This window comes from Homo sapiens, chromosome 8 (genome assembly GCF_000001405.40).
Source record: "Homo sapiens chromosome 8, GRCh38.p14 Primary Assembly".
Taxonomy (NCBI): Eukaryota; Metazoa; Chordata; class Mammalia; order Primates; family Hominidae; genus Homo; species Homo sapiens.
In genome coordinates this window covers 130,384,065-130,398,035 of record NC_000008.11, presented here as the reverse complement: position 1 = coordinate 130,398,035, position 13,971 = coordinate 130,384,065, and the positions used below count along the sequence as shown (strand labels likewise).

Sequence of the window (13,971 nt, the reverse complement as noted above, 5' to 3'; positions counted from 1 at the left end):
AGCACCTTTAGTCCTCTGACTGACTGATTGATTCATTCATCTAACTTGTATTGATAACTGCTTATTACTTATGTGCCAGTAACCTGGCTAGGATGCCTGGGATACAAAGGTCCATGCTGTAGACATGACCCTGCCCTCATGGGGCTTCTTATCTAGAGGAAAAGGAAAGAGGTAAATACCATTCAGATTACCAGCCACCAGGTTAGGTTCAGTATGGGATGCCCTGGGGCCACAGGAGGGGCATGGAAGCTAACCCAGCCCCACAGGCTCATCTGCTGAAATAACACAGATGTGCTTCTCAACCAACCCCTTTGATGGGGGAAAAGTTCCCACATCAGTGGGTAAGCTGACCACAGGAGGGCTACATCAAGAAATATAAAGCAGTTCCCCCCATCCTTTGCTTAACTGGCACTAAGAAGGGGTCAGCTTTTCTTGTCTTGTTGTCACTGTCATAGTTGTGAACCTACCTGATGTTCCATGGGGTAGGCAAGTGCTCGCCCTTGTGAGTTCAGTAGAAGACAAGGGAATCACAGGAGCAGAGACTTCACTTATGAAGACGTGTATACAGGGACCTCTTATTTAAAATAAATATACGGGCTGGGCATGGTGGCTCATGCCTGTAATCCTAGCACTTTGGGAGGCGAAGGCTGGCGGATCACCTGAGGCCAGGAGTTTGAGACCAGCCTGGCCAACATGGCGAAACCCTGTCTCTACTAAAAATACAAAAATTAGCCAGGTATGGTGGTGGGCGCCTGTAGTCCCAGCTGCTTGGGAGGCTGAGGCATGAGAATTGCTTGAACCTGGGAGGCAGAGGTTGCAGTGAGCTGAGATCGTGCCATTGCACTCCAGTCTGGGCAACAGAACTAGACTCTTTCTTAACAACAACAACAACAAAATTCTCATAAATATGTGAATGAATGAATGAATGAATAAAATCACAGTCCACAGCAATGCGGTTGTCATCCCTGGGAAAACTCAAGTCCAAGGGAATAAAGAACAAGACCCGTTTCCTTTATTCACCCCAAATACCATAAGGGAGACAGGAGCGCAGCACATGGAAGTGGAATTGAATGCTGAATTCTGAGCCAGCAGTAGAAATCAGTTGGCCTTATGTTCAGGTTTTTCTCCATATGTAGAAAAGAAGTGACCTAAACTTTAGACCCTCCTCAACCAAGCCCATGAGAAACCTCTGTGACTCCTCCTCCCTCTTTTGCCTTTCCAAATGTCAAGCAGACGCCCTGTCATTATCATGCCACAGGCTGTCAGCCCAAATTGAATTTCCCTGAGCCCAGCTGATGTCCCTTTTTGGCTGCAGGGCAGGGATCAGGAATGCATGCTGCACATGGACGGGAAACGTGTCCCTGGAGCTGAATGCAGAAGGCTGACCTCTCAACTCTGCATTGCTAACATAGTTGGAAGGGTTAGGAAGCCTTGTGATTTCTGGATGTAAAAGAAAAAGAAATGTGTTTTAGAAAAACAGTATTCAAGTTCTGCTGCGAAAATCCTTTCAAAATAATTGAGTCTATTTAAAATTCAACTGGTTGTTTCACAGCATTGACTATACTTCAGTTAAATACATAAAGGAAGGAAGGTTATGGCTAAACTGAGAGATGGGAAGTGATGATGCTGGTCTTGTCTTCCTCCCTCCCTTCATTTTTCCCTCCCTGCCTTTAAAATTTATTAAGCAGCGACTGTGTGCCAGGTCCTACACTCAAACCTGGGGAAATACATGAATAAGACTCATGGCAAAGCCTTCTTGAGCTTATCCTTCATTTGTTTTTAGAAAACGTATTCATTCTACAAATGTTTCCTGAGCATCTAATTTGCTCAAGTCTCTTAGTAGAGATAAAAAACATGGTTCCTCCTTTTACTACATGTATACTTTATTTTTTGATCACTTTTCTGACGACCTACTAAGTGCCAGGGTCTGTGCAAGCTGCCAGGATATCAAGGGAAACAAAAACAGCTTCTGCTTTGATGGAGCTAAAAGACTAGAAAATGTTCCATTAGTTTCCTAGGGCTGCTGTGACAAAGTACCACAAACTTGGTGGCTTAAAACAACAGAAATATGGCCAGGCGCGGTGGCTCACACCTATAATCCCAGCACTTTGGGAGACGGAGGCGGGCGGATTACCTAAGATCAGGAGTTCGAGATCAGCCTAGCTAACATAGTGAAACCCCATCTCTACTAAAAATACAAAATTAGCTGGGCGTAGTGGCGGGTGCCTGTAATCCCAGCCCCTCGGGAGGCTGAGGCAGGAGAATCGCTTGAACCTGGGAGGTGGAGGTTGCAGTGAGCCGAGGTCACATCACTGCACTCCAGCCTGTGTGACAGAGTGAGACTCTGTCTCAAAAAAAAAAAGAAATGTATTGTCTCACAGTTTGGAGGCCAGAAGTTCAAGATCAACGTGTTGGCAGTGTCGTGCTTCCTCTGAAACCTGTAGGGGAGAATCCTTCCTTGCCTCTTCGTAGTGTCTGGTGTCACCAGCAGTCGTTGATGTTCCTCAGCTTGCAGCCTCATCACTCCAGTTCCTGCCTGTGTTGTCCTGCGGCATTCTGCCTGTGTGCCTCTCTTCTCTCTTACAAGGACAGCAGTCATACTGGATTGCGGGACTGCCCTTCTCCCATGTGACCTCATCTTAATCACCACCTTAATTATATCTGCAAAGACCCTATTTCCAAATAAGTCCACATTCATGGATGAGGGGGTGGCTAAGATCTCCACTTTTTGCAAGAGGACGTGTCAAACGTATGTAATATTAGAAAGCGCCCACAGTACCTGGTGCATGGTGGGCCTTGTTGTTGCCTTCCCTTTCTTTCCACTTTATCTCAGCATCTAAAGGGTGAGCACCTTGAGGGCAGGAACTCTGTGTTACTCTGAGTGAGTGCTTCCAGATTTCTTGCCAGGGAAGTGAGACGGATGTTTTTCTTGTGCTGCGGCAGGGACATTCTTGTGTGGTCCCTGGTTGATGGGAAATGCTCTTTCTTGCTACTGTCCTTAGTTTTTGCTTCTTATGCTGATGGTTGATGAGGGAGTCATGGGGAAAGAATACCTTGATTGGAAAGCTGGGCCTGGTGGGTAAAGTGGTTAAACCAGGCTCCTCTCCTGGTTCTGCTGTTTGCTGGTCATGTGAGCCTGGATACATTTCCTCCTCTCTGTGCCTCCAGGCATCTCATCTGTACCCCTTAGGAGTTTGTTTGTTTGTTTTGAGACAGAGTTATCAGGGAACCTGCCCCTGATAGTCACGTAGGTTCTTTTCTGTTTTCCCTAAGCGTTGGCCGGGTTGAGAAATAAAGAGACAGAGTACAAAAGAGAGAAATTTTAAAGCTGGGTGTCCTGGGGAGACATCACATGTAGGTAGGTTCCGTGATGCCCCACAAGCCGCAAAACCAGCAAGTTTTTATTAGGGATTTTCAAAAGGGGAGGGAGTGTACGAATAGGGTGTGGGTCACAGAGATCGCATACTTTACAAGGTAATAGAATATCACAAGGCAAATGGAGGCAGGGTGAGATCACAGGACCACAGGACCGGGACGACATTAAAATTGCTAATAAAGTTTTGGGCACCATTGTCATTGATAACATGTTTGAGAGCAACCGGTCTGACCAAAATTTATTAGGCGGGAATTTCCTGTCCTAATAAGCCTGGGAGCGCTATGGGAGTCTGGGGCTTATTTCATCCCTACAGTCTCGACCATAGAAGATGGCCACACCCAAGGGGGCCATTTCAGAGACCTACCCTCAGGGGCGCATTCTCTTTCTCAGGGATGTTCCTTGCTGAGAAAAAGAATTCAGCGATATTTCTCCCATTTGCTTTTGAAAGAAGAGAAATATGGCTCTGTTCCGCCCAGCTCACCGGTGGTCAAAGTTTAAGGTTATCTCTCTTGTTCCCTGAACATTGCTGTTATCCTGTTCTTTTTTCAAGGTGCCCAGATTTCATATTGTTCAAACACACATGCTCTACAAACAATTTGTGCAGTTAATGCAATCATCACAGGGTCCTGAGTTGACATACATCCTCCTCAGCTTATGAAAATGATGAGATTAAGAGATTAAAGTAAAGACAGGCATAGGAAATCACAAGGGTATTGATTGGGGAAGTGATAAGTGTCCATGAAATCTTCACAATTTATGTTCAGAGATTACAGTAAAGACAGATGTAAGAAATTATAAAAGTATTAATTTGGGGATCTAATAAATGTCCATGAAATCTTCACAATTTATGTTCTTCTGCCACGGCTTCAGCTGGTCCCTCTGTTTGGGGTCCCTGACTTCCCGCAACACAGAGTCTCGCTCTGTCACCCAGTCTGGAGTGCAGTGGTGAGATCTTGGCCCACTGCAATCTCTGCCTCCTGGGTTCAAGTGATTCTCATGCCTCAGCCTCCCGAGCAGCTGGGATTACAGGTGTGTGCCACCATGCCTGGCTAATTTTTGTATTTTTAGTGGAGATGGGGTTTCACCATGTTGGTCAGGCTGTTCTTGAACTCCTGACCTCAAGTGATCTGCCCGCCTTGGCCTCCCAAAGTGCTGGGACTACAGGCATGAGCCACTGTGCTTGGCCTTCCTAGGAGTCTTTGTGAGGGCCAGGTGGGATCAAATGTTTAAAAGAGTACCAGGCCCACAGTAAATGTTTGCTGCTTGTTTGTGGGAGTATTCCAAGACTTTTAATACCTTCCAGGGAGAAGGGCTTCCCTGGCCCATTCAGCACATTCCCCTCAGTAAAGACTCATGCTCACTGTTTAGCACTGTTCACCATCAGAACATTTCCTCATGATTTTCCTAAGGCAAGTTTTTCAGGAATATGGCAAACAGCCCTTGCACAAAGATATCCATTGGAGCATCATTTAAAATGGTAAACCGCTACAAACAAGATAAAATCCTGCTCTACAATGAGCAGTGGGTTAACAAATTAGGGGCAGAAGGATGAAAAACAAATTAGGGTAAAATAATGCAGCCATTAAAAAGAAGATAAGTTATGAGAACACTCATAATATAACTGTCATGTTAAAAAAAAGGTTTATTTTTGAGGAAGTGACTTAATTTCTGTGTGCCTCGGTGCCATGGTTTGGATATTTGACCCCTCTAAACCTCATGTTGAAATGTGATCCCCAATTTTGAAGGTGGGGCCTGATGGGAAATGTTTGGGTCATGGAGGCGGATCCCTCATGAATGAGTTCTCACTCTGTTAGTTCCCGTGACAACTGTTTGTTTAAAAGATCCCAGCCCCTCCCCCACCTCCTTCTCTCACCATCTGATCTCTGCACATGCTGGCTCCCCTTCCCCTTCTGCCACGAGTTGAAGCAACCTGAGGCCCTCACAGAAGCAGGTGCTGGCTTCTTGTGCAACCTGCAGAACCAAGAGCCAAATAAACCTCTTTTCTTTATTAATTACCCAGCTTCAGTTATTCCATTAGAGCAGGACAAATGGACTGAGACACTCAGCTTCCTTATCTATAAAATGGAGATGATAACAGTACTTTCCTCATACATACGATTGTTTTGAGAATTAAATGGGATAGTACCTCTAAAACACATGAATAGTACTTGGCACATATTAGGTGCTTACTAAATACTAATTGTTATTGTTAGTTATTTATCATGTGGTCTAAACCATGTGCAGAATATTCATAGAAAAAGATTAGAATAAGTAACACAGATGAATGCACATCCCTTTTCCCTGTTAGATGTCTTATTCAAAGGGACTTCCTTTTGTCTGTCAGCAAACATTGCACAGCTTCTCTGTATCAAGCACTCTGATAGTCTCTAAGGCAGCAGGTCTCCCTTTAGGAGTGTGTATGAGAGTCCCTTTTGGGGGCTTTTTAAAAAACAGATGCTTAGAGATGCTGATTCAGTAGATGTGTGGTGAGTCCCAGGCATCTGCAGTCTTAAAAACTATTCCACAAATGATTTTGACTCTCAAGGTTGATATATAAGTTACAGTCTTTCCCCTCAAGAAGTCTGCAAACCAGATGAGAAGATGGGACAAGCAGTGGCATGAGGCAGAACGTAAGTGCTATAGATTAGGCGCTCCCAGGTCTGGCTCCCCCTGCACAACTTTGCAAAAATAAAGATGGTCTTTGTTGTACCACTAGATGTGGAATCAGAACCCACAGGGTGAAGCCTTTCCAGGGGTTCTGGTGATCAGCCTGGTAGGGGACCATGTGTGAGGACTGTGAGTGCTTCCTGTTTGAGAGAACCCAGGAGGGGGTCCCTCTGGCCTGGGATTGTCACAGGAGCTCTCTCTAAAAAGGTATAATGTGCTATCTAAGAATACATTATTACATTTACTGTATTGGACTGAAATGACCTGTTAGATATCTATTGCCACTGACATACTCTGAGTGCCTTGAAGGCGGGAACCATGCATGCATTGGTCAGCCCTGTGATAGTGCCTGCATGTCTCACCTTGGCATTGACCTCTCCTGTCCCCTAGTACCTGCCTAGGTGCAGCAGGATAGATTGAGAACCAAAGTTTTTCCAAAGCTATTTTCTCAAAGCCATGAGGACTGATATATTTTCTCTGGTTGGTAGTAGTGAATGCTTTTTAAAAAATCTTTATTTTAAAATATTTTAATTGTGGTGAAGTATGCATAACATAAAAATTACTATTGTTAACTGTTTTTAAGAACAATTCAGTGGCATTAAGTATGTTCACATTGTTGTGCAACCATTGCCGCGAAATCCATCTCCAGAATTCTTTTCATCTTGCAAAATTGAAATTCTGTACCCATCAAATGACAACTCCTTCTCTTCCCTCTCCCTTCCCATCCCTGGAAATAACCATTCTACTTTCTGTCTGTATGAATTTGACTACTCTAGGTATCTTTTATAAGTGGAATCATACAATATTTGTCTTTTTGTTACTGCCTTACTTAACATAATGTCCTCAAGGTTCATCCTTATTATACCATGTATCAAAATTTCCTTCATTTTTGAGGCTAAATAACATTCCATTGTATGTACATATCATATTTTGTTTATCCAGTCATCCGTGGATGAATACGTGTTTGCTTCTACCTTTTGGTTGTTATGAATTATGCTGCTATGAATATGGGTATACAAATAGCTCCAGATCCTGCTTTCAATTTTGGGGGGGCGGGGGATATATACCCAGAAGTGGAATTGCTGGATTATACAATAATTCCATGTTTACTTTTTTGAGGAACAGCCAGGCTGTTTTCCATTTTACATTCTGTACCAGTTTACATTCCCACCAATAGTGCACAAGAGTTCCCATGTCTCCATATCGTCACCAACACTTGTTATTTTCTGTTTTTGTGATAGTAGCCATCCTAGTAGGTATGAATGCTTGTAACTGGTGAATGCCTTTAGCGAGGACATTCCATTTTCAGCTTTGTATTTCACTTAGGTTGTGTGGCCCAATTAAACAGTCTCCAAGCATTTATTTAAGCCCTAGGCACTGAGAATACAGACCTAAATAATACATGCATGGTACCTGCCTTCACGGCACTCAGAGTATGTCAGGGGAAATAGATATCTAACAGGTAATTTCAGTCCAGTATGGTAGGTGTAATCATATATTCCTAATAGCATATTATGCCTTAAATACAGTTGAAGATTCCGGGAAATCTTGACTGAGTTTGGTGCCTTAGTATAAAACACATGAGTACATCATTCAGGCAGTCTGAGATTCCTAGATTGTTTAGGCTGGAAGGGACTTGTAGACTTTCCAGTAGAACTTTCTATGAAATGGAAATATTCTGTGTCTGCCACATGTGGCTTTTGAGCACTTAAAATGTGCTTCGTACAACTGAGAAACTTATAAAGTTCATATAATTTTAGGGAATTTATGTTTAAATTGAAGTTAGCTATAGGTAGTGGCTACTGTGTGAGACAGAGAGGTAAAGCGAGGTAATAGTGAGCATTCTTTCCTGGTTCTCATGCTTGAATATGCATGTGGGTCACCTGGGGAGCTGTTAAAAATCAGATTCTCAGGCCCTCCCTTTAGTGTTTCTAATTCTTTAAGTTGTAGTAGGGTCAAGGAACCTGCATTTTAACAACCACCACAGGTGATTCTGATGCAGACGTAGTTTGAGAAATGCCAAGTCTTGTGGTTTTCAAGCTTTTGTATCCTCAGAATATTTTCTTCAAATGAAAGCTTAAAGCCTGGGCAACATAATGGGACCCTGTCTCTACGAAAAAAAAATTTAGCTGGGCATAGTAGCACACACCTATAGTCCCAGGTAGTTGGGAGGCTGAGGTGGAAGGATTGCTTGAGCCTGGAAAGTTGAGGCCGCAGTGAGCCGTGACTGTGCCACTGCACTCCAGCCTAGGCAACGGAAGGAGACCCTGTCTCAGGAAAAAAATAAATAAATAAAAAGAAAGCTAAAGAGCTCAGTGTATAGAACAGAGAGTAGAGTTGTTCCAGCTTAGGTAGTTCTGGCTGGTACCAGAACTTTATACACGTTAGGGGATCACACTCTACCCTCTCTGGGGAAGGAACTGGGGTTTCTTGGAGTATAATTTGTACAACTCTAACCTAGCACAACCACATCACTTTATTCATCTTAAATCCTGTGAAATGCAAAATAAGATTTGGTTTTGTAATACCTATAAACATGCCAGAACCAATTACAGACCAACAGGCACCTCTGGAAATGCAGGTTGAAGCAGAAACACAATTAGTGCATTAGTCAGCCATTTTTTCCCTTGTCCTGGACTTTAACCAGCCATCTTGGCATCACATGGCGGAACTGCAGAGTAGTGATTAAAAACAGGCTGTCTGACCTGGCAGGAAGGCAGTCTCCACCCTAGAGCTTACTGGGTGGTGCTAGGCAAGTTTCCTTATCTGCAAAATGGGTATAACAGTAGCTTCTACCTGAGACAATACATGTAAAACCCAGCACTTGGCACTAAGTATTCATTATTGTAACAACAACAACAGCAGCAACAACAATACTAATAGCTAATGCTCACAGAGCATTTAACGTGAGCCAGGCCCTTTCTTCTAAGCACTTGCTGTTTATTAACTCATTCAATCCTTACAACAATCCTGTGAGTAGATAGTATTGTTATTTCCATTGTAAAGACAAACTAAAGCTCACAGAGGTTTGGAAAATTATTTAAGGCCACATTGCTGGTCAGTGGCAGAAGTGGAACTTGGCTGCAGGGAGTCTGGCCCTGGAGCCTGCAGTTTTCACTTTTACTCCGTGTGCTACTATATTATCCCCAGGCTCTAAGGAAAGCCTGTTAAGATGATCCTTTCATCCCCTCCCCCAAGCCCTAGCTCTAAATCTCAAAGCTTTGGAATTAATCTGTAAGTCAACTCAGCTTCTGCGAATCATCTGACCCAGTTGATCACTCCCTTCCTCTAAAAACACGGTTTTCTTTTGGCTTCTATGACACCAAGCCGGCTTGGATTTCTTCTTGTGACTCTACCCTCTCAGTCTCTCAGTTGGGCACCCCTTGCTCCAACTTACCTCTAAATATTTTTGAAGATGTCTGCATGCAAATTATACAGACATGCAAATTATATTATATGCTTACAAATTTTATCTCCAGCTGAATCTGTCCTCTGAGTTCCAGACTTGATGATCTGAAATGCCTAATTAATATCCCCATTTGGAAGTCTAGCAGGCCTCTCAAACTTAATATGTCCAACATGGATTATTCTCCTCACTCCTCTTGCAGCTCATGCTGCACCCCTGCTTACAGCCACCGCTGATCTCCAAGACCCCTGCCCATTTTACTTAGAATGAAATTCAGATTTCTTACCGTGGCCTACAAAGACTAGCATGATCTAGCCCCTGCCTATCTCTGTACCCTCCTCTGCCTCCACCCCGTTTCCCCAAGAGGCTTCAGCACATTGGCCTCCGTTCTGTTCCTCACACTCAGCAAGTGCTATCCTGTCTCAGGACCCTGCTTCATGCTCTTCTTCTGCCTCCAGGGCCTTGTCCCTGTACCTCCTGTCCCCCACTCCATGGTCGTCACATCCTGAAGTCTCAGCTTAAATGCTATGTCCTCAGACAGATCTTCCTAGCCACTCTAGCCTTTATTCTCTTTGGTTGCTCCCCGTATGTTTTCTTCCTAGCAGTTGTAACAATCTGGAATTGTTTGTTCTCTTGTGTATGTCTGCCACCCCCACCAGACTATAAGCTCCTAATGGACAAGGTCACTGATGGCTGCTCATCTGCTAAAGTTACTCCAGTGCCAGGCACAGAGTCTGGTACATAGATGTTCAGTAAATATGTATTGTTGTTGAAATAAAATCAATGGCTGCTGCTAAGTCAACCATGAGCATAAAATACCAATTCTAGGCCTGTTATTTGTAGAATCCTTTCATGGACTAGACAATTTTCATATATATATACAAGTGGTTAAAAAGTTGGTTGGGACTTGGGCTTTTTTTTTTTTTTTCTGAGATGGAGTCTCGCTCTGTCATCCAGGCTGGAGTGTAGTGGTACATTAGACAATTTTGATATATGTATACAAGTAGTTAAAAAATTGGTTGGGACCTGTGCTTTTTTTTTTTTTTCTTTCTTGATGGAGTCTCACTCTGTCACCCAGGCTGGAGTGCAGTGGTGTAATCTTGGCTCATTGCAACCTCCACCTCCTGGGTCCAAGTGATTCTCCTGCCTCAGCCTCCCAAGTAAGTGGGATTACAGGCGAGCGCCACCATGCTCAGCTAATTTTTGTATTTTGAGTAGGGACGAGGTTTTGCCATGTTACCCAGCCTGGTCTCAAACTCCTGATCTCAAGTGATCTGCCCACCTCGGCCTCCCCAAATGCCGGGATTACAGGTGTGAGCCACCACTTTCGCCGGACCTGGGTTTTTTAATGGGCCTTGGTCTCCATTTTCACATTTCTTCTTCCTGGGTCATCCAGAGTGTTAGGATTTACTGAGATTCTCTTAAGAAAAACAGCAGCCTTGGATACCCAATTCATATGAAAGCAGGTTTGATTTCGGTTTAAAATGGAAACTGTGAGCTAATGCATTTTACAGATTTGAGGAGAGAACAATTTTCTCTGTTTTTAAGAAAATAAAGAACAAAACGTGGGATAACTTTTTGTGAGTCACCATAGTGCCACAAGCTCCTGAAAGGGGTTCTCTGCAAATATTTGGGGTTTGGTGCTTATAAACAGCTACAAAGGTTTTCTTGAGCGTTGGTAACCACGGCAACAAGGACGTCACTTCCACGGTGCAAACATGCTTGCCAAGCTGAAGTGTGGAGTGACAGTTTTTGGCTGAGCCATGAACCTAAAAGTGGAGGTTTACAAAGTTACTGCAGACAGGTCATTAGCACGACTGGCTGCAGTGAGCTCCCTAAGTCTTCATCGCTCCTGCCTTTTCATCAGCAGCGAGATAATTGACTGTTAGACTCCCGAGCCACAGACCACGGCAGAGGTGAGTCCGCTTCTAACTGTTTCTGCAGAGTGAGGTACAGTTGTCAGAAGTTCCCAAACAATGTGAGTTTGGTAAGAGGAGACTGGAAATGGAGTTTTCACCAGTAAAGCGACGCGTGGCGATTGTGTATCTACAGGGTGGAGAGCGCAGCGCTTAGCCCTGTGTCGACAGCCCTGTGGGCTGAGGCCACAGTCTGAATTTGCTGTGCCCAGCTGTGTTTTTTCATCAGGACAGGGTGTGGGAGCGGGGGCAGGCAGAGCTTCAAGCTATGGACTCGGCAATGGAACGTGTTACCTCCGTGGTCAGCACAGTTTTAGTTTTGGGTGATAGAAACCCAATTCAGGTTGCCTTAAGCAAGAAGGGAATGTACTGGCTTAGGTAAGAGAGGAGTCCAGGGGTAAAACCTGGCCCCAGAAATGACTGGATTCCTAGATTTGGTCTCTCCCTTTTCTCTGCATCACCACTGAATCTCTCGCCCCCTTCCTCTCTAGTGCTTTCTCCTCCACTGGCTGTATTCTCAGGTTCTCCAAGTATGGTTTCCAGAAGCATCGGTCCTAAAGCCACCGGTTTAAAGACCCCACCAGGTAGAGAGCTCTTCTTCCCAGAAGATTTTGCAAAATCTCTGGATTGATTCCCGTTGGTCTATCTTGGGTCACGTGGTCAGCCCTGTACCAGTCACTGTGGACAAGGCCATGGACTATTCTGATTGGACAAGCCCATGTCACCTGATCATTCCCAGACTTCAGGGAGAGGTTGAAAGTGAGACCCACAGGAACCAAAGGATGTGGGGGGACTCCCCAGTGGGAATTTGAAATGCATTCACCGGCAGGAGTACTGGGTGCTCGGGAAGTAAAACCGCAAATGCCCACCCCTCTAACCAAGTAACTGGATGTAGGGAGAGTTAGTAGCTCAAGTTCGAATCAGCTTCCTTAGCGGGCTGTTGAAGAGCCTCTGTTGGGAGAGTGATGTCAGCAACATGGCAGAAGAGAAGCTCCTGACTCTCCCTCCACTCGTGGACACACCAAATAAACATCCATTCACCAATCACTTCCCTCTGAGAGAGTCAGAGACCAGTTGAGATTCCTACCCACCTGGTAACTGAGAAAACATCCCCATGTAACGGGTCGGAAAAGCTGAGACTCTCTTGGGCACGCCCCCACCTCGGGCGCTGAGCCACAAAATTGGGAAAGGAATCTCTAGCACCCAGCATCTCCCCATGGAGAGGAGGCTTTGGGCCTCACAAGGCCCGCCCTAACTCTAAGGTGCCCCACGGTTGGCTCTTAATTCACCAACTCTGGGGCTGAGGGAATTAGACACACTCAAGTCTCTGTTCTGCTTTGGCTCTATTTTATTTATTTATTTATTTTAGTGGAGACGGGGTTTCACCATGTTGGCCAGGCTGGTCTGGAACTCCTGACCTCAAGTGATCCGCCCACCTCAGCCTCCCAAACTGCTGGGATTACAGGCGTGAGCCACCACACCCGGCCTGCCTTGGCTCTTTTAAATGAACCTCAAGCGACCACCAGCTAGCAACGTGCCTTCTGCCTCTGGGATTGCTCCAGGCCATGTCTGTGTAGTAGAAGGAGGTGATGTTTCCCATTCCCCTCTTGTAGCTCCTTGTTCAAGCTCATCCTGTTAGATCAAAGACAATATTTGGACCTCAAGCCCCGGCCTCCATAGAGCCATGGTGTGTGTATGTACGTGGGACACTGTCTCGCTTTTATTTATGTTCAGTCTCTGCCTCTCTCACTAGATTATAACTTCCAGGAGGGCGGGGGTCATCTCGGCCTTGCTCACCACAGTGCATAGCTTGGAGGATGTAGTGGACAGTCAGTAAATGTTTGTTGAAAGAACAAATTACAGGACAATGGGGAGTCATTGAGGGATGTGAAGTGTGACAGGGTAACTTGCCCAACATTCCCCAGATAATAAAAGACACTATCAGTGGATCACCTGAGGTCAGGAGTTCAAGATCAGCCTGGGCAACATGGTGAAACCCCATCTCTACTAAAAATACAAAACATTAGCCGGGCATGGTGGCGGGCGCCTGTGTAATCCCAGCTACTCGGGAGGCCAAGGCTCAAGAATCACTTGAACCGGCGAGGGGGAGGTTGCAGTGAGCCAAGATAGCGCCATTGCACTCCAGCTTGGGAGACAAAGTGAGACTCCGTCTGAAAAAAACACACTATCCTCCCTGAATCCCACGTCTTCTGACTCCCAATGTCCCACTTTCTGCCCCCTGCCCAGCAGTGGGGTTCTCTGAGTAAGAAGAGGGGGAGGGTGGCACATACTAACACAGAATGGATGCTTGTATGCAGACCAGGCTGTAAATTACATAGCAATGACAGCTTTGATGTTGCATCTGAAAAGGTGTAATAACCCCTTCTAGCAGGTCTCTCTCATGGTGGAGGGGAAAGTGGTTTGTGCTTTATTTTAATCAGCGAGGCCCTTCCCTGCTGGTAACTTGAGGTCATTCCATCTCATCTCAGAAGGTCGTCTTGTCCTTGGGTTGCCATAATCTCCTTTGGTTATAAAGAGGACCTGGAGCCATGCAAGGGTGGGATGTTGACTTGCCATCTCAGTAGCACATTTAATCCTACAGGACT

At 45.1% G+C, this 13,971-nt stretch overlaps 1 protein-coding gene across 18 annotated transcripts in view; it reads left to right on the top strand.

The window, feature by feature from the left end:
• Positions 1-13,971, top strand: part of ASAP1 (ArfGAP with SH3 domain, ankyrin repeat and PH domain 1) — a 391,571-nt gene that overhangs the window by 45,639 nt on the left and 331,961 nt on the right. For 3 of the 18 annotated variants that reach the window (XM_047421808.1, XM_047421801.1, XM_011517053.2), the window contains exon 1: positions 11,157-11,365. The exons of the other annotated variants lie outside the window; for them this stretch is intronic. The gene's annotated coding sequence lies outside the window, so the exon portion shown is untranslated. Of the gene's footprint in view, positions 1-11,156; positions 11,366-13,971 lie in introns of those variants that run through there. 18 annotated transcript variants of the gene reach the window in all.